This window comes from Homo sapiens, chromosome 8 (assembly GCF_000001405.40).
Source record: "Homo sapiens chromosome 8, GRCh38.p14 Primary Assembly".
NCBI classification, from domain to species: domain Eukaryota; kingdom Metazoa; phylum Chordata; class Mammalia; order Primates; family Hominidae; genus Homo; species Homo sapiens.
In genome coordinates, this window is record NC_000008.11 from 78,501,218 (window position 1) to 78,525,651 (window position 24,434).

General features: G+C 36.6%; 1 protein-coding gene and 1 long non-coding RNA gene across 4 annotated transcripts in view, besides 2 other annotated features; one reads left to right on the top strand and one right to left on the bottom strand.

Moving 5' to 3' along the window:
* Positions 1-24,434, bottom strand: part of LOC105375911 (uncharacterized) — a 268,808-nt gene that overhangs the window by 104,046 nt on the left and 140,328 nt on the right. The window lies entirely within an intron of this gene.
* Positions 15,068-15,367: a silencer, noted in NCBI's record as "silent region_19308". NCBI's record gives its function as "represses an Ori minimal core promoter by ATAC-STARR-seq in GM12878 lymphoblastoid cells {active_cell/tissue: GM12878}" and the evidence as "EXISTENCE:reporter gene assay evidence [ECO:0000049][PMID:35858748]".
* Positions 15,123-24,434, top strand: part of PKIA (cAMP-dependent protein kinase inhibitor alpha) — an 88,928-nt gene continuing 79,616 nt past the window's right edge. For all 3 annotated transcript variants that reach the window (XM_017013620.1, NM_006823.4, NM_181839.3), the window contains exon 1: positions 15,123-15,251. The gene's annotated coding sequence lies outside the window, so the exon portion shown is untranslated. The remainder of the gene's footprint in view (positions 15,252-24,434) is intronic.
* Positions 15,688-15,797: an enhancer, noted in NCBI's record as "active region_27545". NCBI's record gives its function as "activates an Ori minimal core promoter by ATAC-STARR-seq in GM12878 lymphoblastoid cells {active_cell/tissue: GM12878}" and the evidence as "EXISTENCE:reporter gene assay evidence [ECO:0000049][PMID:35858748]".

The window sequence follows — 24,434 nt, forward strand, 5'->3', positions numbered from 1 at the left end:
TGGGTAATTTATGAAGAAAAGAGGATTAATTGACTGAAAGTGCCGCAGGCTATACAGGAAGCATGCTGGGAGAAATCAGGAAATTTCCAATCATGGCAGAAGGATGATGAGGAAGAAAGCACCCTCTCCACATGGTGGCAGGAGGCAGAGAGAGAGCAAGGAAGTTCTACACACCTTTAAACAACAAGATCTTATGAGAACTCACTATCACAAGAATGGCTGGGGGAAATCTGCCCCCATGAGCCAATCACCTAACACCAGCTCCCTCCCTAACACTGAGAATTACAATTCAACATGCAATTTGGATGGGGACACAGAGCCAAACCATATCAACTTATTAATTTTTTTCACAATTCTTAAATTATTATGTGTATTCTAGGACTAAACAAGTAAGTAAATAGAATGTGGATCATGAGAATCCATTTCTCACTGTTAAAGAAAGAAGTATAAGGTATAAGGAAGGGGTCCAGTTTCAGTTTTCTGCATATGGCTAGCCAGTTCTCCTAACACCATTTGTTAAACAGGGAATCCTTTCCCCATTGCTTATTTTTGTCAGGTTTGTTAAAGATCAGATGGCTGTAGATGTGTGGCGTTATTTCTGAGGCCTCTGTTCTGTTCCATTAGTCTATATATCTGTTTCAGTACCAGTACCATGCTGTTTTGGTTACTGTAGCCTTGTAGCATAGTTTGAAGTCAGGTACATGATGCCTCCAGCTTTGTTCTTTTTGCTTAGGACTGTCTCAGCTATAAGGGCTCTTTTTTGGTTCCACATGAAATTTAAAGTAGTTTTTTCTAATTCTGTGAAGAAAGTCAGTGGTAGCTTGATTGGGATACCATTGAATCTATAAATTACTTTGGGTAGTATGGCCATTTTCACGATGTTGGTTCTTCCTATCCATAAGCATGGAATGCTTTTCCATTTGTTTATGTCCTCTCGTATTTCCTTGAGCAGTGGTTTGTAGTTCTCCTTGAAGAGGTCCTTCACATCCCTTGTAAGTCAGATTCCTAGGTATTTTATTCTCTTTGTGGCAATTGTGAATTGGAGTTCCCCCATGATTTGGCTCTCTGTTTGTCTGTTATTGGTGTATAGAAATGCTTGTGATTTTTGCACATGGATTTGGTATCCTGAGACTTTGCTGAAGTTGCTTATCAGTTTAAGAAGATTTTGGGCTGACACAATGGAGTTTTCTAAGTATACAATCATGTCATCTGCAAACAGAGACAATTTGACTTCCTCTCTTCCTATTTGAATACCATTTATTTCTTTCTCTTGCCTGATTGCGCCGGCCAGAACTTCCGATACTATGTTGAATAGGAGTGGTGAGAGAGAGCATCCTTGTCTTGTGCCAGTTTTCAAGGGGAATGCTTCCAGCTTGTGCCCATTCAGTATAATATTGGCTGTGGGTTTGTCCTAAATAGCTCTTATTATTTTGAGATACGTTCCCTCAATGGCTAGTTTATTGAGAGTTTTTAAAAATTAACTCAAGATGGATTAAAGACTTAAACATAAGACCTAAACCCATAAAAAACCCTAGAAGAAAACCGAGGCAATAGCATTCAGGACATAGGCATGGGCAAAGACTTCATGACTAAAACACCAAAAGCAATGGCAACAAAAGCCAAAATGGACAAACGGGATCTAATTAAACTAAAGAGCTTCTGCACAGCAAAAGAAACTATCATCAGAATGAACAGGCAACCTACAGAATGGGAGAAAATTTTTGCAATCTATCCATCTAACAAAGGGCTAATATCCAGAATCTACAAGAAATGTAAACAAATTTACAAGAAAAAGCAAGCAAGCCCATCAAAAAGTGGGCACGGATATGAACAAACACTTCTCAAAAGAAGACATTTATGCGGCCAACAGACATGAAGAAAAGCACATCATCACTGGTCATTACAGAAATGCAAATGAAAACCACAATGGGATACTATCTCATGCCAGTTAGAATGACGATCATTAAAAAGTCAGGAAACAACAGATGCTGGAGAGGATGTGGAGAAATAGGAATGCTTTTACATTGTTGGTGGGAGTATAAATTAGTTCAACCATTGTGGAAGACAGTGTGGCAATTCCTCAGGGATCTAGAACTAGAAATACCATTTGACCCAGCAATCCCATTACTGGGTATATACCCAAAGGCTTATACATCATTCTACTATAAAGACACATGCACACATATGTTTATTGCAGCACTATTCACAATAGCAAAGACTTGCAATCAACCCAAATGCCCATCAGTGATAGACTGGATAAAGAAAATGTGGCACATATACACCATGGAATACTATGCAGCCATAAAAAAGGATGAGTTCATGTCCTTTGCAGGGACATGGATGAAGCTGGAAACCATCACTCTCAGCAAACTAACACAGGAACAGAAAACCAAACACCGCATGTTCTCACTCATAAGTGAGACTTGAACAATGAGAACATATGGACACAGAGAGGGGAACATCACACACCATGGCCTGTCGAGGGGTGAGGGGCTGGGGAACGGATAGCATTAGGAGAAATACCTAATGTAGATGAGCGGTTGATGGGTGCAGCAAACATCCATGGCACATGTATACCTATGTAACAAACCTGCACATTCTGCACATACATCCCAGAACTTAAAGTATAATAAAACAAGAAAGAAAGAAAATAAGAAGTTACAAATAAAGAAAGAGTGAGAGAGGAGGGAAAAATAAACCCTGAGTTGGACTGGAATCCAGATATAAGTTTGAACTCATACTTTTATACAGATAATCATACAGATATCTATATATAAACATACATTCATATAAATAAATATAAAAACAGATGTTTATGTGTATATGTTAGTTTTGTCTGCAATTAGGTAACCTGGTTAGTAATGAATATAATTCATGCCAAGATGCTGGGGCTATGGGCTACAGGTGTGTGCCACTACATCTAGCTAATTTTTGTTTTGTTTTGTTTTTGTTTTTGTTTTTTTTGTATAGACGGGGTTTCGCCATGTTGCTCAGGCTGGTCTCAAACTTCGGGACTCAAGCGATTTTCCCACCTCGACCTCCAAAAGTGCTGGGATTATTTATAGGCCTGATCCACCATGCCCAGCCTGTAATTACTATTATATAGTTCAAGGAACCAGAACACCTTGGAGAAATAATGGATTAAGAACTGGGACAGGGAAAGTAAAAGATAGGACTGGAGCATTTTCTGGTGCAAGAAAGGAAAGTACTACTCAAAAAATTGTATGGCCCTGTAAAAAAAAACACACAGGAGATGATTTGAAGGAGTCCAATGATCAAATCTGGAACAATTTGAGCAATGATGTAATTAATAATTGTAATTGATTTTAACACAGAGAATAAAATAAATATCCATAAGTATACACTGATATAAATAATATGCAAATGAGGGGAAAGGAACAGTGCTTCCTTACAGTTAAATTAATAACTGTTGAAGGAATTATGAGAATAGAAAATGACCATTTGTGAAACAACAAAGTAACTGGTAGAAACAGGAATTATTGGCAGTTGCTAAAATTGGTATGGGAGGATGAAACAAGAAATAGAATAATCAAGCAATCCAAAATTATCTCCCCAGAAAAATGCATATTAAATGGTAAAATAATAATTTTGCTGCTATCCTTATAAACAAGTCATCCAAGTTAATACCACCCAGTAATAAGACATTTCTTGTATTCCCTAATATGGCACACTGAGAAGGGCATAACATCCTTTGGTGCTCCTGCCAGTTATCACATAACCTCAGTCTAACCATGAGAACATATCAAACAAACTCAAAGTGAATGAGATTCTACAAAATAACTGCCTAGGATTCTCCATAAACTCAAGGTCATGAAAGACTGAAAAACTATCCTAGATTGAAGGAGAATGAGGAGGTATAGCAAATACTGAGATAAGTGAACCTGGATATGAACCTAGACCAAGAGACAGTAGGCAGTATTTGAGTATAGTCTGTAAAGCAGTTAGCAGAATGGTATCAGTGCAAATTTTCTGACTTCCATAATTGTACTGTGGTTATGTAAAATATAAACACTTGAGAAAGCTGAGTAAAGGCTATATGGGAACTCATGCCTTTATGTATGAAGTGTTTTGGTAAATTAAGCTTAATAATACAGTTGGTAAAAACTTAGTTTGAAAATTTCTGAACCTCTTTTAATTTCTTATGAAGAGAAGCATCCTGTTTAGGAATATTACAAATGTGATGTAGAAGATAATATTTACAAAAGATTCAAAAGGTGTGGCAGAGGAAAATGTCAGCTTTGAATGATGGCTTTTCAAAACCTTATACAATTAAGTGTCATGATGAGTGGAATGCATGAACTACACGAATTTATGAGGAGTTAGAAAACCATAGAATTTTCTCACTGTAAAGACCCTTAGAATTTACTTTCTCAACTTCTTAGCTTCAATCTCTGCTGAAATATTAAGAGACAGGGAGTTTATAATTTTAAAATGTGGTCTATTTTATTTCCTGAAAGGTTCCAATCATTAAAATGTTCATCCTTTTATGAACTTAAGCCTGGCTCACTGGTCTAACTTCTTCTGTTTGAAATAGCCTAACCCTTTTTTCAAAGGACAATGCCTCAAATATTTTAGAGCTGCCACCTAGTTCCCATCTGGTCTTGTCTCATTTCATCTATTCCCAGTTCCTTTAGCTATTTCTCATTTATTTTAGATTCCAGACACATTATGGCATTGATTACTCTCTTTAGCATAACAACTCATTTGTCAGATATGGTATTTTAAAACTGAAAGAGGTTGTTTATTGTTATCTGTAGAAAATTCAAACATAGTATCTCCAATCAGGCAATAATTCTTCACCTAAAATGATTCATATACACCAGTTGACAAATAAAATAAAAAAATCCCAAAGGGTTTTATTCCTAAAGAGTTACAGTGTGCAGGTAATGTCAATTTTCTTTCCATGCATCAACAACATTGCCCTGTCACAAAGGAGAAGGGAACACTCCATTGATGTTGCCTAAGTGTGTTAGTATAAATATCGTACTATGAACTGGAAGTTAGATATTAGAAAGGATTCTTTTTTTGCCATAATACATGCATAATACAATTTTCCCTATTCTTTGAGCATTTCTCATCTTAATTACTCATCCATAAGCCCTTAAGCATGTTCCCTAACCTGCATCATAAATGTCAAAGTGGACTACTTTGCTTTGCTTTTTATGAAATTATTATGCTTACTAACCAGTATTTGAGCTCTTCCTATGGACAAATCATTCTAGCTAGCAAAGTGCAGAGGTTCAGAGCATAAAGTTTAAAGTGTAACACCTAGGCTCAAGCAAGTAACTTAATCTAACTAAGGTCTCATTTTCTTGTGTGTGAAGTGAGAATAATTGTAATATAAAGTGGATGGTAAAAAACATTTAGGTACTATATATTAAGAGCTTATTTGACTTGTGGCAGTAAGTATGTATGTACTAGTGCCAGCATGATGATGATGATGATGATGATGATGATGATGAGGATGATGATGATGATGATGAAGTTACCAGCAGGTGTACACAATAAGAACTGGTGACTAAGCCACAAGATTACCTCTGTGTATATTTCCTTCCTCAGGCTAAACTCCTCTGCTTTCTATCCCTTGGCTCCAACTCTTCAACTATTAAACACTTCACAAGGCAGCTTAGGTCCTCTCTTCTATGATGCTTTCCTTAACTACTCTTCTAGAATTAACTTAAAATGTGTTGTGTATACTCATATTATGTACAAAACTCTGCAGCAAAATTTATAACACTTTATTGCAATTGGTTTGTTCCCCATCGGATTGCAACTATTTTGAGGAAAGAAACTGGGTCTTATCCCTGGAATATAAAGTAGTTCCAAGCACACAGTAAGTGATCAATAGATAATGTTTTATAAATAAAATAGTAAATAAAAATTACTGATTGTTTTATGCTACTTCTTGCTCTCTAGGAGCCAAGTCACAAATGCTTAGTTAAGTGCATTAAAGATATTTTTTCTAATATGGTATAGAAAACTATTAATAAAACGTCAGACTTATTGATGTATGCACAATATCAAGGATGGGATTTCTCATAATTTGTATAATTCCACATGCAACCCTAGCAAGTGAAGATTAATCAATTGCGGGCTGCCTTGTATTTATATTTATATAATCTCAAGCTAATTTAAAGAAAGCCATCATATCCTACTAAGTTGAAAAGTTTGAGACTTTTAATGTAAAATAATGGTGAGACTAGCTTTTTTAATTCTGTATTCTCTTATTATAAGATAATATTAACATTTTAACTTATTTGACTATCATCATTTCCAAATTCAGTTAGTGGGGACCTTAACATAATAGCAAATTTGAAAACTAACAGAAGAGAGGTAAATGTCCAATGATTTGAACCTCTTTTGGTTAGTCTCCACATTTCTTTAAAAATAATTCCCGTTTACGACAATATCTACACTTTCAGTCTTTTTTCCTACTAAAAACAAGAAAAAAAAAATAATGTTGACAGTTCCGAAATCATCCACAAGGGGGCAAACTTACAACACATGCACAATGCAGGGAAAATTAGTAATAAACTGGATTCCTTGGAGAAAAAAAATGGAGTCATTAATGACATTAAGCCCATATTAGAAAGAAAACAATGCTAGTATAGCTCATTGAGGATAAGATTTTTGTTTAAGTTCTACTTTTTATTCCTATTTTCAATGCCAAAGGAGGTATGTATATCTGAAAGTTGGAGTCAAATGTAACAAAATCATATAAATGTCTCTTTAGTGATAAGGAAAGCACTTGAAAACACTGTAAGCTCTCTTGTACTTATTTCTATTCTGACAGCTTTAAATTTTATTTTTAAAATATATTTCTGAGATTACTTTATCAAAAATGTATATATCACCTAAGATGCTATCACCGTCTTAAGAGTCAAGAAATTACAGACAGGAATTCAACTAAAAGAAAAATGGAAAATTTCTTTACAACACAGTAAACTGAGTTCTAATTGCGTTTGCCCTTAACACACTGTTATGAGTCAGGGTTTTCAGCCCTTATGATTCATAAAGTTAAAATCAAGTATAAGACTATTGCTCACAGTCTAATGCTGTTCCCTGTTTACCCAGATCAGAGTCCGTGGTTCCTATTGGAATCATTCGCTGTATTCACTCCGAGCTCCGACGGCCATCATTCTCGGTTGTATTGGCTGTACAAAATGCCAACCCCAGCGAAACAGAACCCTAGGTCAACTCAGCACCCGCACCAGGCAGCTAACCATGGCTGGAGAAAACCCAGCAACTTTGTTAATTTGTCTCTTTTAAATTCATAATCATAAGCCTGAGTGAACTTGCTAGTACTTATTAGAAAACTCAGCGCAAATCAGTTCTCTTTCACTCCCTACTAGGCAACTGTTTCAAAACTTCTCTTTCCTCACATCTCCAGTACCAATTCATCTTTCTAAATTCTCAGCTGCTTCTTATTTCATTGGGAATACAAGTGAGAGCAAGGCAAAATTCCCAGAGCTCTGAACATCAAGTTTACCAACCTATCCGGGTCTACTTGAAGCCAAATGCTCTGCCTCCCCTCTCTTTTAGGGGAAGAAATACTTGTCCTCTGATCTAAGGCCAAATCCTCTCTCCTGCACTAGATCCCTTCTGAGTATCTCTTTTTTCCTGCGTCATCAGTTACTTGTTCTCTACTAGTTGTTCCCACAGCATACAAAAATGTCCATCTCAAAGAAAAAAAAATCCTTTTTTATTCCTATATCCTGCTCTAATTATTATGCATTTCTTGCTTATTTTTATAACAAAACTACTTTTAAAAGGCTGCCTTTTATTTTTTCACTTCATTTACTCATTTACACTATTTTTTTGTTCTTTGATAAGAATACAGAAATTGTTCTTATCAAGGAAATTAGGTATCTCCATGTTGCAAATCCTACACTCAGTTATCACGTCTCATATTAATCTACTAGCAGTGTAAGAGCAATAAACCCTCCCTCCTCCTTCTAACCCCTTTTCACTTTGCTTCTGGGACAACTTTCCCTATCTCCCTGCTCACTTCTTTTTATACCCTCTTCTGGATCCTCTGGCATGCCCCATGGCTCAGTCCTCAAACATCATCTATTCTCTTCCTACGCTTACCTCCAAGGTGATTTCACCCGATCTAAAGACTTTAGGTACCATGACGATTCATAAATTTTCATCTACAGCCATGATATCTCTCCCATGAATTTCAGACTAGTACATCCAGTTGTCTACTTCACATCTCCACTAAGATCTGATCAGAAACACAAAGTTAGCAAGTTCAAAAACAAAGTCTCAATCCCCCAAATCTCACTGCCTTTTTAGGCTCTAAATGAACATTCACTCACCTACCTTTCTAACCTCATCTCCTAACAATTTCCCCGTTTGATCATTTCACTACAAAGAAAGTAAACTTTCAGTTCCTGGAACACATGATGTATATGCTCACCTACTTGTATGTTGCATGTGCTGAACCTCTTCAAGTGTTCACATATCTTGCTTTCACATTGTCTTCAAATCTCTGCCCAAGTGTCCCCTACCACCTTATATAACTACCCCTATACCTGTATTCTCTTTTTTTTTTTTTTTTTTTTTTTTTTGAGACAGAGCCTCAGAGTCTCTGTTGCCCAGGCTGGAGTGCATTGGCATGATCTCCGCTCACTGCAACCTCCGCCTCCTGGGTTCAAGCAGTTCTACTGCCTCAGCCTCCCGAGTAGCTGGGACTACAGGTATGCACCACCATGCCCAGCTAATTTTTGTATTTTTAGTAGAGATGGGGTTTCACCATGTTGGCCAGGCTGGTGTCAAATTCCTGACCTCAGGTGATCCGCCTGCCTGGGCCTCCCAAAGTGCTGGGATTACAGGTGTGAGCCACGCCCAGCCCTGCATTCCTACTCTGCTCCTTCATGGCCCTTTCCATCAACTATCATGCCATATTAGTTGATGGAAAGGGCCATGAACGAACAGAGTAAAAATTCTGTCTCCTTTTACTTGGACAAAATATCCATGAAGAAGAGCTTTATTTGTCCATGTTTGTATCTTCAGTGATTAGAACAGCAGTACTAGTACACTGTACTCCATAAATAATCTGCTGAATGAATATCAACTTGTCTGATGAACACAGTTCATTGAAGCTTATTTTAAACTTATTTACCTTTTTAGTAGCCTAAATTGTATATAATGGATGAAAAAAATTATGATAGAGACATAATTCTTTATTAAAATTATTTGATAATTTACTAAATTGTATATGGTAAGAAATTGATGAAGAAATTTGTCATTGATGACAAATGATAGAGACATAATTCTTTATAAATATTATTTGATAATCTACTCACTGCAGTAGAAAAGTTTTCATTAAACCATACCTTTCTTGAGAGGGGGATTTTATTGGTTTCATCATATTCTTAAAATAAAAAAAGTGAAAAAAATGTAAAGCATCACCTAAGTAGTTTGTTTTATCCCATGCTTTCATAATAATTTTTTAAAGGTTTATTTGAGTATTTCTTACACCACAGTATGAAATGCATCATGTGCCATTTACTAGGTATGTCATCTAAGCAAATAGACATTGCACAATTAAATATGGAGTTCCAATTACAGCATAGTAGCTGTGTTACATAGACCTAGAATTTTATGTCAACTCCTTACCAGTATCAACAAAGTGAATTCTTCCTAATGTCAAAACAGTTTCTGTTCTGTTTGTAGTCACTTCCCCTTCTTGCATTGTCCTATTTCTGTTCAATCTGCTGAAACTCTTCAAGATCTAATACCAATCTTCACATAAATGATAGATTTTTGTTCCCTGTATCATATATCAAAATGTTTTCATATTAGTATAGAAAATTCTTACTACCTATGATTACTTGAATGCAACTGTTTCTATTGCTAGCTTTGCATTACATTTGTATGTATTTTACATGATCTACTTTCTGACCTCATTAAAAGAGTAGATGCTTTGTCATAAAATTGTAAGACTTCTGTAGCACATGATTAATCAGCCAAAGCCTCGCAGACACACACAGACACACACACACACAGTACCATTACCATGGAAATCCTTCTCCTACCCTTTCTCTTAAGTCAAAATTATGTAAAACAATATTGATTATTATTCACTAAGTGCCCAATTCTTTCCTAGTAGACCAAGCTCCCAGTTTCAGGCAGACCCCTACGGAGTGACGAGAACAGGAGACCTGGCAGGAAATGGGGTGACAGATGCTGGGGCCAAATCACCCTGACAACTCCTCTCAATAATAAATCTGAGAATCTAATCTCTGCTAAATTGTTAATGGCAGCAAATGAGATACTCAGTTACTCCTCCTGATAGTGTATTTGCATTTAAATGAGTCCTTTCTGGAAGGACTCCCTTAACCCAAAGGAGTGTTTCTAAATGCTGACAGCTCCCAGCACACAGGGCCTCTGGCTCTGGTTTCACATTTTCCCTTGCTGAGACTCATGATATCACTAGGCCATTTGATCTCTAATTTGAGAATATCAGAAAGGAAGCATTGCAGACCTCAAAGTCAAGATCCAAAGTTTAGGGTTTTTTAAAAAAAAATTTGTGCAATAACAAGTCATAGGTTAAAAAAAATTACATATTGCTGTATGTAAAGTTCCAAGAAGACAGATTCAAACCCTATATGTTGACATAAGACATTTCCCAATATCTTTCCCCTTTTCTTTCTGGTTTCCCTATGCCTCTTACCGTGCTGGAGTATCAGAAGCAGTTCAATCCTGCCATTTAATGTCTTTGACTGTTGTCTTTAACACCATCAACACACTGATTCCTTTCCATGAATAAAAAGTACCTGATAAGAATACTTTGATAGATGAATGTATCTATATTATCACAAGAAACTATCTTCAGTGAGTCTGGCTTCGCAGATGGAAACTACACTGGGGGGTCAAGAAAACATGTTCTGGGACTGTCCCAAGTCGCCACAGTTGCATCCCTACTGCCTCAGGCAACTTGAAGGAAAAGATCAAACATCTTTCACTCTTGAGACAATTGTTGTCTTCATCTCAGAAACAAGACAAAGTCAGGCTGTGAGTGGTGGGGATCCAAGCCCAAGTCTGTTCAACTACAAAATCTCTAACCTTCACAGTCATCTCAACCTTCTGGTTCTCTTCACCTTCTCATCCTCCTGCCTCTTTACTTTATAAGGACTTTTATCTTCAGCATGAGATACCTAGCAAATCCTTCAACTAAATGATAAATTATGAAGGCTGAACATGTTCTCTCATTCAAGGTATTTAGAACTTGCAAAGGAGAAAGGGGACAGAAGCCTGCCCAAGTATGCAAGGATAACACTGACAGAGTATCAGCTCCCTGAAGCTCTGGAGTGGCAATTTCATGCCATCTCATTATAGCCTCACAGTAACAGTCTACAGTTTGTATTCTAAGTTTTGCCATGGCTCCCTTTGACAATCTGAAGCAACCTACATAACTCTTCTTAAAATGATGCTTTTCAATGCATAAAATATAATACGTAGAATTGGAAAGGAAACTACGAAGTTTAAAATACTGTTATCAAAATATTTAAAAACAAAATTCATGATATACAAAGGTATGGGCATTTAAACTCATTAAACACAGTATAGGAGAGTTATATATATTTACTTAAAAATTGTGATATTGTGGGAAAGGGTTAACAATTTTTATACTGCTTTACATGTACACTGAAATTGAACAATTATAACAGTGAATGATGGGAGCCATGATTCTCACTATTGGAATAGGAATTTACAGACAAGCAAAGGGAGGAGGCTAGAATGATCTATGTGTTAAAGGATTAAAGTTGGAAACATAAGTATGTGCTCATATTTAGCTTAATACAGACACAGAATGGTCACATATAGAAATACTTATGTATATATGCATGGGTAAGTATACACATATATTTCTTCACTGTCTTAGTTGAAAGGCCTAAACAAAATGACCTGCCAATAATGACTGTGTCTGGGACCCAGATCTTGATTTGTATTACCATTCTCCCATAAAAGGAACAAGGGCTCCATGAAGAAATGGCTGATTCTTGGAATGAAGAAGGAAGTATACAAGTTGAGACTGGAGGAACTTATAATACCATAAAGTAAGGGATTGTTAACAGCCCTGCTGCTCCTGCCATACACACACACACGCACACTCACACATCAAAGGGGGTATGTCAAAGGAGCACAGGAACCTACTGAAAGAGCTTCCAATGGGCAAAACTGGAACAAATTGAACAACAAAATAAAGTAGTAATTGATTATTACCAAAGGCATAAAATATAATACATCTCCATAAGTCTATAATATTGATATCAATAAGTAATTGAATACTTGGTAGAGAATAGACAGCTCTCCTGTACAGAATTCCATATACTTTATGTACACACTCTGCCCTCAGGGAGGTAGAGCCAAAGTCCCACTCCTTAGGTTTGGGTTTCATGTAGTTACTTCCTACAAGTACAGTATGGAAGGGATGGGCAATAACGTTACAGTAGAGAAACCTGACAAACACTGCCTCAGCCAGACAATCAAGGTCAACACATCACCAGTCATAAATCACATCGGTACTATAGCACCTTGATATGATGTGAGGAAAAGGGACTTTACCTCTTTCTTTCTCCTGCCAATAGTTCGCAACTCCAGTCTTATCATAAGAAAAGCATCAGACAAATTGCAACAGTGAGGCCTTCCAGCAAATACTTGACCACTACTCCTCAAAACTGTCAAGGTCATCAAAAACAAGAAAAACTATCACAGCTAAGAGGAGCTTAAGGGGACATGACAACTAAATTTAGTGTGGTATCCTGGATGGATGCCTGGAACAGATTTAAGGATATTAGGTAAAAACCAGGGAAACTTAAATGTAGTTAGACTTTATTTATAGTTAGTAATAATGTATCAGTATACATTCATTGATTGTAACCCAATGATATGGTTCAGATTTGTGTCCCTACCCAAATCTCATGTCAAATTGTAATCCCCAATTTTGGAGGAGGGGCCTAGTGGGAGGTGACTTGATCATGGGGGAGGACTTCCCCCTTGGCTTTCTGGTGGTAGTGAGTTCTCATGACATCTGGTTGTTTAAAAGTGTGTAGCACCTCCCCCTTCTCTTTCTCCTGCTCCAGCCATGTAGGCCCTGCCTGCTTCCCCTTTGCCTTCCACCATGATTATAGGTTTCCTGAGACCTCCCCAATCATGCTTCCTGTACAGCCTACAGAACCACCAGCCCTTCTTTATAAATTACCCAATCTCAGGTAGTTCTTTATAGCAATGCCAGAATTACACCAAGGTACCTTACTATTGTATGATGTCAATAGGAGACACTGGGAATGGGATATATGGGAACACCCTGTATTATTTCTTCAATTTTTCTGGACACCAAAGCTGAAAAATATAGTCTATTAAATAAAAAAAGTAGTGATGATTTGATTATAACATCAGTGTAGTGATAGAGATATCTATAAAAACAGCAATAAGGAATTAGCTGTTGTTTCTATTGGAAACAAAGTCCCAGGTACTCCTAACATTCTTGTGGTTTGTTGCCTACATTATGTTTAAAGGACATGCTAAATGCTAAATTTCAGTTAGAAGTTAGTGAAACTAAAAATGAGATTTTTCCCATTATACTTAATCTGTATAAAAGGAGTATATGAATAGAATTCCATTTATACAGATTAAGAATCTCCTGCTCTATGGTAATATTAACGGGCTAATGTTATGAAAGTGAGTCTCAGAGCGATGAATTAAGCTGTTCTAGCTTTCAAAGAGCATATATTCTATGACCAAGAATTCTAACTAAGTTTTGTTGGAAAGCTGTTGGCTACATTATCACCTAACTTTGGGACTGATAGATGGATGGAAACATCTCATTTAGCAAAGGTGCTTCCCTGGCCTTGTGCAATTGCACTGTTTAGGTTGCTGGACAAATCCATAGTGTAAAGCTGGCCTGTATCAAGTGACGGTCAATTCAAACAGCAAGGCAAGTTAAAAGAGGGAACTCCATTCCACAGAACCCTAGTGTCAAGGAACCTCCCGACTGGAAAATGACTCAACAGCTAGGCGGAAACCCTGGCTCAGCTACAAAGAGAGCAAATTTAGTCCCATTTTTCCTTAAACATTCAACCCTCAAACCTGAAGAGATTTGGGAAAGAAGCAAAACGGGAGGGTGGGGGAGAGAGAACAGTCTTGTTAACAGCTAGTGTTAATTTAAAAAGAGAAGGAAAGGGCTTATATGAATACATGCTTATTTCATTCCCAAAGCAAATTTTCATAAATCCTTAGGGAAAGAGAGATAGTCATTTGCTAATGTAGACTCTGCTTTTTGATTCCCAAATGTTACAGCTGTCACCACAACAGTTTGCCCAATTATGTGGCAGGGAGGGGAGGGGGTCCAGAGCAAAGGAAGTAGGAGGAAGAGATGTTAGAGGGAACATCTGTGCACAAGTGCACCATAAACACAACAAAATCATGGGGCCACCCCACTGTTTCTTTGAGCGCTTTCTCTGGTTGGCCCCACTTCTCCAGTCTTTTAGGAGATTCCCGTTCTATTACGTAGGTGAGAGGGCGAAAGGTTCTAGCTTTCAAAATTGTGAGTGGTTTGGCTGTGTGCATACGTGTGTGTGCGCGCGTGTGTGCGTGTGTGTGTGTGTTTGCGTGTGTGTCTGTTGGCGGGGGCGGGGGTGATGGAGAGAGCTATGAAGGGCTTAGAAAGCTTCATTACCAATTTAAAATGTTTTTGTAGTGCTTGAATGTTTATCTTAAAAGACAATTCCTGCTCTCAAATTCAGCCAAATGAACAATGCTGATAAGGAAGATGAAGAGGGTGGGAAACCCACAGGGGCAAATGGAACAGTCCATGCAGCCGGGGTGACGGGGGAGCGCTCGGAGGAAGGACGCTATGCAGAGAAAGCCCCCCTGGCTCTTCTCTCTCAATCCATAATCCAGCGATGCTGCAGCTGTAAAAGCATTAATAGAAAATCAATCCACAACCTCGCGGGGCAGCGATCGTCGAGCGCCGTTTCCAGGCTGCCTTCCCTGGGGTCGGGAGCGGCCCCGCTCCCCCCGTGGCTGGCGCGGAATGTGGTGATCCGTCCCGGGGCGGGGATGACTTCATGCAGCCGGAGCTCCGCGGCGGGAGCGGAGGCTGCTGCTGGCAGGTGGGGCGCGGGCCGGCGCGAGCTGACCGAGCACTCGGCGGGCGCGGCGGGACTGCGGCCCGTGGCGGCGTGCGCGGGGACCTGCGCTGACTAGGTCCGGGGAAGGTAAGCAGCCCGGCACCGGTGCGCCCTGGCCGCACTGCGTGGAGCTTTCCGCTTGGTTAATAATGGGGTTTGCAGCACGGAGGGAAGAAGGGGAGAACCCCGCTGCATTCTGCAATGAGAAAAGGAGCAACAACTAGGATGGAAATGTTGGGCGGCCAAGTGCAGAGGTTGGAGGAGCAGTGTTACTGGGCAAACAAAGAAGGCGTTCTTGCCTCTATACTCTTTTGAACGTGATCTACCATTTCAGTGCCAGATTCGCGTAGACAGTGAAGAGGACTCAAAATTTAAAATAATTTGAGTTACTCTTTTGCTTTCTGTGCCTTTTACCTTCGCTTGAGTATTTTGAGGATTTGGAGCAGTAGGTCCCTGGCAGCAGCCTGAGGTAATCAGAAATCGTCCCTCTTCCTGTAGTCCTTGGTCCTCTCCCTTTCCAGTTATCAGAATGGGTCTGTGCCCCTCTCAATGGCAAAACACCTGCTTCAAGACTGAACCTTTAGAAAGAGCCTCTATCTGGAGGGGAAACTTCTCTTATCTCCTGGAGTTCAGCTTGGGTTGAGCAGCACTTGACATCGCTTCTTCCTTCAATTGCCATTTTCTCTGTCAATCATTTCATTGATCTTTTTCGGAGATGCTGTGCCCATTCACAGACCAACTCTCGTCAGCTCTTATCCACCACCTGGGTTCCATGACTGATTTTGTCAAGGTCCCAAAAAGGGCATTGCCTCACACAGATTTCTTATTCGGTATTCTCCCTGTATACTGTTACCTGTGTCCTTCCCCCAAATGCATGGAATGAAATATCCTGCTTGTGGCCCTGTACCAACATGTTATCCCATTAACTCCCTTCGCTGTAGTCACTGTGGCTACTTGAAAGCTAGAGAGGACAGATAGAATCTACTGGAGTGTGAGGGATGTTCCCTATGCATAGGCATAGGTAGAAGTAAAAATGTGAATGCCAGTCCATCCAGTTTTTCTTGAAGCAATTTTAGTCCAGTTGGATTTTGAGACAGCTAGCTGTTAAGATTTGGGACAAATCCTTTCCAAAAGGCAGAGGAGTCCGTTTGCCTCTAGGATTCCTCAAGAACCTCAAAAGAGTTTCCAGTGAGGTTTTCCTCGTAGGCAGTCAGAAAGCCAATGGAGCTGCCCAATCTAAGCCTCTGGTTGAGTATCCTCTAGTTTGTCTTGCCATTTGCAGGTTCCTATCCCTCGTCCTAGGATTTTCCCCACAGACCCCTTGCTACTGAGCCCAAGTGCCTATCCTTGTTGCCACCTAGAGATGTACATTTGAATAATATGCTGTGAAATGGTTAAGATGGCTGTTATGGGGATTGCAAACGTGCCACTTCACCAACAGAGAACAGTTGCAATAAGCCAGATTGTGGGGTATCTGTGTGCCAATGTTCTATTTAAAGGAAGATCTGTTATCTTTAAACTTAAAATTACAGAGACTGTCTGACTCAACAGCCATGCAATTTTATTTTAGTAAATTAAATTAGAAGATCAATGAAAAAGAGGGGCAGAGTTGGTAGCTTAAAATTTTACCTCTTTCTTTCCTCTTCAAATATTATTTTTAAGCAAAGACACTAGTATGGAAAATCGTGTTAATCATATTATATATCATTATTGCCTTTCTATTACAAATTTCGTTTTTACAAAATGCACTTTAGAAAGATTTGAATTTGTTTCTTTGTCTCCATCTTCAGTATATGAGGCATAGGGTGAGGGTGTAGGGGGTGGGCAAAGCCCACTACTGAGTGATCCACTCCAGGAACTGCCCCTTGGGGTCTTAATAACCTTATGTTCCTTTTTTGTTGTTGTTATTATGTGTTAAACAGGGTTTTGGTTTGAAATATTAACTTCTTGAGATTCTAGAATTTTTACTCAGTCACATTAACTATGAGGTAACAAAGAACAAGATCAACAACAAACCCTGTATTCTACCACCTTTTTTCTACTATTAAAATACTTAACCATATACATCATTATTCTGAATAATACTAATATAGAATAATAATGAATTTTAATATAGTTATTCTAAATAACCTAAGGTATATGAAATACAGATTAGTACAATTGATCTTAGAAATACAATGCAGTTTCTGTAATGTTGACAGTCACCTTTCTGTTGAAGAGCAAGTGCGTGAGAATATCCTAATGATGGTTAGAAATTCGAAGTGTCTATCATTTAGTTTCTGAAGAAACTAAACTCTTTGGCAAGAAATAGGTTCAGGATTAGGAGACTGGTGCTGCCTAAGGTGGAATAATACTTGCTAGTGATTTTGCAGGTGAGTTGAACCCACTAAGTTATGGACTGGAGTTGGAGAAATCTTGTTGAGAAGAAAGAAAACAAGTTAGAAAATTTAATTTTCATTTTAGTACAACTGAGGAAGATAATCAAACTGAAGGGATTCCTGAATTTGGACTTTGTTGTGTTTAAACAAGTTTGAGGAAAGTTTCTAAATTTAGAAGGCTAAGCAGAAATATATGTATGATTTTATGTCTGAAACTGATTTATGACTTTATATCCTTTCCTTAAAATGTTTCCTAGGGAGAGGAAAAACTAATTGGCTGGTGTTCAGAATTGAAAGAGGAATGAAAAATGGAAGGACGTGCATGATTAGATGCTAAATGATTAGATACTAAATGAACTGCAGGCACTTTTGTGTTTGACAAGATAGAACTGAAGTCAGTCTACTGCTCTCCAATTGTGTAAAAAAAAAAAAAAAAGTTTTGTCTGCTAGACAGTGTTACCAGATATTTAGAGAGTAAAAATTTAGGAGTTAAAGTTGCCCTCTTCTAACAAAATATCTTTTTCTGGTGCTGCATTACTGCCATTAACTACAATTGAAATAGCCTTAAGATTTGAGGCTGAGGCAGGAGGATTGCTTGAGCCCAGGAGTCTGAGGCTGCAGTGAGCCATGATGGCACCACTGTACTTCAACCAGGGCAACAGAATGAAACCCTGTCTCAAATTAAAAAATAAAAACTTTTTTAAAAGTTCAGAAATGTTGAAATGGAAAAGGAAAAAGAATAGCAATAATAAGGCTCAAATAGAAATGTCATTTCTATTCAACCAGTGACTCCACTGAGAATGGGTAGAAAAAAGTGCTATTTTGAAAGTTGCCAATGACCTCTTAATTGCCAGATTTCTATAATATTTCACCCTGTTCATTTTATAAGTCCTCTTCTATGTTATTCTTGGATTCAATATTTGTGTTTAAAAGGTAATATTAAGTACTATGTATCAGGCACTGTGATATCTCTTAATCTAATTTGTCACTAATTCCCTTAAAGTACCCCATGCCCAACCTAAACCAAGTGGATCTTCTTTCCAATTTGTACCCCATGGTGGCATGCCTATGTGTTTTCATTTATTCTGTTAGCCCATCCTCTTACATGTCGAAACCTTGTTCACCTCAGATACTGACTCACTTATGAAGCCTTCCCCATACCCATCTTCCTTCCCCAACCAGATGTGCCCCTCTCTTGTTTAAATTCCCATAGCACATTCTATTTTGGGTTATCCTTTCATGTGAACATGCTTTGTCTGCTCTTCTAAAAAAAACTCTTGAAAGCAGGGTCTGGGAATAAGTTTTTATTACCTGCAACTCTATGGTGTCTAGCTACATATATGTATTATAGGTGTTCAGCAATTTGATTTTAGTGAAGAAATAAGTTATTTTCCAGAGTTATAAATCTATCTACCTACACTCCTCTACCAGCCAAGTTAAGTTCTCAATATATGTGCAAATGCTAATTTGGTTTTTTAAAAATCATTATAGTAATAATAAATATACTGAGAGTACATTCAAATCATTATAATCTACAAAAGGTATTATGAGCTTAAATGTCCTTAAATGGATACTAAAAGCATGGTGAGCATAGCAAAACCAATCTTTAATGAAGACATTGTACCTGCTTTCAGTATTATTGCATTGAAGGCACCTTATGCATATGAGCATTTATCTTGTTTCAAGCCACTCATCTAGGGACTTTCATCTTTGGTATCTCATTTGATGTTTATACTATATGTGAATTTTACACTAAGAAAACTGAGGCTCAGAGATGTCACCTGAATGGCAGAGATTTTTTCCATATTACCACCCGCTCTTTGAAGTGTAACAGAGTGAGGGAAAACATTGTAAAAACATAAAGTCAGAGCCATCAGAATAGTTTCAAGTTGTTTTGTGATTAATCTTTCCAGTGCTTTTTAAACTTTTAGGTTAACATCTCAAACTTTTGATAACTCAGTAAAGTCTGTACATCTTCTCCCCAAGTACATACAGAAGCATACACATATTAATTTTGCATACAAATGCAGGTGTTTGTGGATTCACTAAAGCTCTCTTTACAGAATAGTTAAAGAACATCTATTTGTGCTCCCTTGGACAATATGTGTGTCCTTTATTAGCCCTTACATTTCCAGTACTTGAGATGAGGTTTTCCTTCTGTTTTTCTCCTTACTTTAAGACCTGAAATGAGAGCCCTTCACCAACACTGACATGAAGACAGCTGATGACTAGGAAGCAAGTGCTAGTGAAAATAGTGACTCAAAGAACCTTGATTCACAAAAAAGGCATGGAAAGGGAGCTCCGAACGTTACACATTCCAAATGACTTATTTAAGGTTTTCCAATCAAAGCCATTTTTACAAAAAAGAAACTGTTCTCAGACTTAAGAGTATTGTACTACCACATATGTGGGAAAACATTGCCAGCAGTTGATTGGTGTAGTTTACTTTGGAATATATTCAGTTCTCTTAGGATGGACTTATTAACTGTCTCAATATTAATATTTCTTTATGGTAATGCCATCTTCAGTAATATATTTGCTTTTGCCAAGTTAAGGAAAGAATGATAATTTATGTTCATCCCTCCTAGGTTCTAAAACAAGTGCCATCCTGAAAGAGCTGCATATCATTTTAGATTCATAAAAATGCATTCAGATTCTCAGCTGATACTTAAAGGGACTGGTACTAGCAAGCACGGTTCCTGATGTATTTAAAGAGCGTTCAAAGAGGTGTGACAAGAACAACATTAGTCTGGAAAAAAAAACAGAGATGGAAAGATAGAAAACTCAAAAGGACAACTTAAGCTGTTACCTTCTTTACATTTCCCAAATACCTTTTTTTGTACCAAAATAAGATTATAACTATATAAGTGTCTAAAATAAGTAAAATGTTATGAAAACTTTATAATGTGCTCCATATCAGGTAAGTTTATATTTTATAGATTTTATAATTAAAATTTTTTTTCTGGTAAAATATACGTAACATTTACTATTTTAGCTATTTTTAACTGTATAATTAACAATGTTGGGCAACTATCACCACTATCAGTTTTCAGAACTGTCTCATTATCACAAACAGAAACTCTATACACATTAAACAATAACCGTTCATTTCCTCAGCCCCTGGTAAACACTATTCTACTCTCTGTGCCTATGAATTTGCATATTCTAGGTACCTCATAAGTGGAATCACTTATGGAATGTTCTGGAACCCTTTCATACATATTTGTCCTTTTGTCTCTAGCTTCTTTCACTTAGTATAAATGTTTTCAAAGTTCATCCATATTTCAGCATGTATCAAAATTTCATTCCCTTTTAAGGCTGAATACTATTTCATTGTATGTATATAACACATATGGTAATTTTGAATTGCAAAACACTTTCAGTACATTGTCTATTACATTAAACATGGCTAGCATATAACACCACCATATTATCTTCCATAGATGTCAAGTAATATACACTATGAAGGTGCCATAATTTATTTGGTCAAAACCCATTGAAAAACATTTACTTAATTCCAAATTGTTTTGTGACTTCAAGTTATGTGGTAATAAACAGAGTATATTAATCCATATGTCTTTATATGTCAGTACTTTTACTTTTGATCAAAGAATGCTTGGAGTGGAATTATTGGGTCAGAGATTATGCCCAGATATTTATAGTTTGAGTACTCTAGATACTGTAGTTTATAGACTATAAAAATCCTAACATTCTGTAACAGATAGTATTACTGAATGTTCTGGAACCCTTTCATACTATCTTAAAAATGAATACAGATACTATAAGGAAATCAACTGAACATGATCCGAGCAAAGAAATATTCTCTCTTTTTTCATTTCCAGTTCATGGAGGAAAAATGCTATACACAAGTATTGAGAGAGAAAGTCTCTCAATCATGCATTTTTTTATCATAGATGACAAAGTGCATCATAGATGTCAGTTAAGTCTTGTAATAACAATGTGGAATAGTAGAAACATCTCTAGCTAGTTTTTAGGGTTTTTGTTTGTTTGTTTGCACCAGCAATAGGTTATTTGCATCAAACCTAATCTAAAATTTGGTCTGTTTGTTCAGATTTATGTACCTACATTATGGTAAATCTTTTATTTTTTTTTCTTAGTTTCTCTTTAATGTATTATTTTTAGTTTATTCTGAAATAGAATAATAAAGCCCAGTGATAACAGTGTCTTATTGAAGCTAAACTACAAAATATTTGGCGTATGTGAAGTATAAACAGAATTGGCAAGACTTTTAACCATCCTCCTCAGCAGAAGACAGTCTCTATTGCATCGGCCAGGAGAGGAGAAACAGAAGGCTTGCTGGAGATTGCATTAGTTTTTACTTAAACATTAAAATGCTAAAAGGACAAAGATGAAGCAACATGTCTTATAATATATGTTTGAGTATCTACTTAAAACTAAAGGGTTGCTAGAACATTTATTTAGTTGGACAGACACACTCCACAGTGTAGCTGACCCTAGACATGTCACAACTGCATTTTAAAGTATGCTTTTTCTTCAGTTGATTGGGGTGGGGGGAATTATTAATAAACATTTCTCCTATGGTTTACCTCTATCTTTATGGTTGTTTGATTAAACCCTCTTTGAAAAGCAGACGTAAAACAAATCAGCATTCTTATCTTTGTCTGAATAAGCAACACCATGGCCATACCTTCTTAATGCACTGCTGTGGTTATGAGACCAAAGGGTAGAAGCAGCAGTTTTTTGGTCATTGCAATAGTCACAGCAACACAACCTGCTACATTCCTCACTTATATACTGCAGAATCTGACCAAATAAACACAGAAAAGTCAGTAATACCTTTAATGCAATTCTTGCACAACTCTCCATGATCTTTCATACACAGCTTCTCTGATAATTGAAATGTAGAGGAAAATAACCTGAATGTTAAGACCCCTTTTCCATTTCCAAAATGTAATTTTGCTGGGACTTGCAGAAATAACATTGAATCTGAAATTAGTGGGCATCCAATGGAGTCACTAGAAATAATCTGTCAAAATCACTCAAATACAAATTTAGATTTAAAGACCAGGAAATTCTAAAGAGTAACTATGGTAATATATTAACAATTTAGGAAAGGAACATTATACATATATATTTATATAAATATTTATACATATTTATATTTATACATATATATTTATATATATATAAATATATATAAACATTTATATTTATATATAAATATATAAACATTTATATTTATAAATATATATAAACATTTATATATAAATATATATAAACGTTTATATAAACGTTTATATATATAAATATATATAAACATTTATATTTATATATAAATATAAATAAACATTTATATTTATATATAAATATATGTATAAACATTTATATTTATATATAAACATTTATATTTATATATAAATATATGTATAAACATTTATATTTATATATAAACATTTATATTTATATATATATAAACATTTATATTTATATATAAATATATATGTTTTTATATATATGGGTTTCTACTTATAAGGTATAATCACTGGAGAATAATGGATTTTTAGAAATGATTCATTCTGAAAAGACTATTTTACCACTTTTTTAAACTAGTGCCATCAAAAATAAATTGTGACAAGTCACTGTCATCCAAGTTAGTCTCTCACGTGGCTCTCAAGGAAGTGAGTAGTTCTTGGGGAAATGGCTTTCTTCAAATTTGTGCTTTCCTGCAGTGAGTCAAGCTGAGATAAAATGGGGCTGATGTTCTTAACTATTTGTTACATGCCCATATTTATTAGAATTACCTAATAATCAGTAAAAAAGAGTTTTATGATAACTAAAAATGTACCTATTGAGACTCTCCATTGATAAAAGTTGGCTAAGATACAGCTGGTGATCCTGTAGAAATCTAAATTACATTTTTTTCATCTTCTCCATATTAGAGAATAACTCAGGATTTCAAAGCAAAGCATGAAAAAGTAGCATTTGATATATTTTATCAATGTTAAGATTTCTGGGGAGCTTATCAGCATCATATACTAAGCATTCAATAAACGTAAATTGTTATTTCATAAGTAAAATATCAACAGCATAAAAATTTCTGTAACTCAAATGGCCAGTATGGTACATGGCTTTAATACAGGAGATTACAAAACATTAGTTGAACAACAAAATGAACTAATACCATTTATTTCTGAAAGCTACCCCCCAATACAAAATGATTGGTATTCTACACAAGCTCATTGTGATTGCTTTAGTATATGTGGTAGGAGTAAATTATGGATAGAACTACCCTCTTCCCTGGTTCTTTTAAAACCATACTTTCTTCCCTCTGGGGTATTATAAGTTGGAAATTAGAGGTGAATCATATTTTAGTCTGGAATTTATCTAGTAAGCAGTTCAAGACACTTAACCATGCACCATCTGTTTACCCAGGGCAGGAAAACATGACATTCCCCTTTTCAACTATAGCAGATGGGGACTTTTAGAAAACTCAGAATGCAAGATAGAGATTATAATGATGGAGTATTAGTCAGCACTTCTTTTGTCTGCATCTCTTTTTCAATCTCATTGATTGTAAAGAACACAATCAGAGATAAAGTACAGTTACTGTCAATTGAAAATGTTTTCAACCTGCATATAGGTGTGAGATAGTGGGCCTGTCACATCTTCACGAGATATGTTGGAATGACTATTTCACCACAAAATTCAAACGTGACACTAAAATTATCTGACACTAAACAGTCCATTAAATAAGAGGATGAATGTTGGCATCTTGCTCATCTATTTAGAAAAGAAAAATCACTAACAGTTTTAGGCAATACTTAAATGTTTAAATTTTTTCTAATAAAATGGAAAATGAAATAAAATGGCATTACGGTGTTATGAAAGCAAAGCAATTAGGTTAATCTCA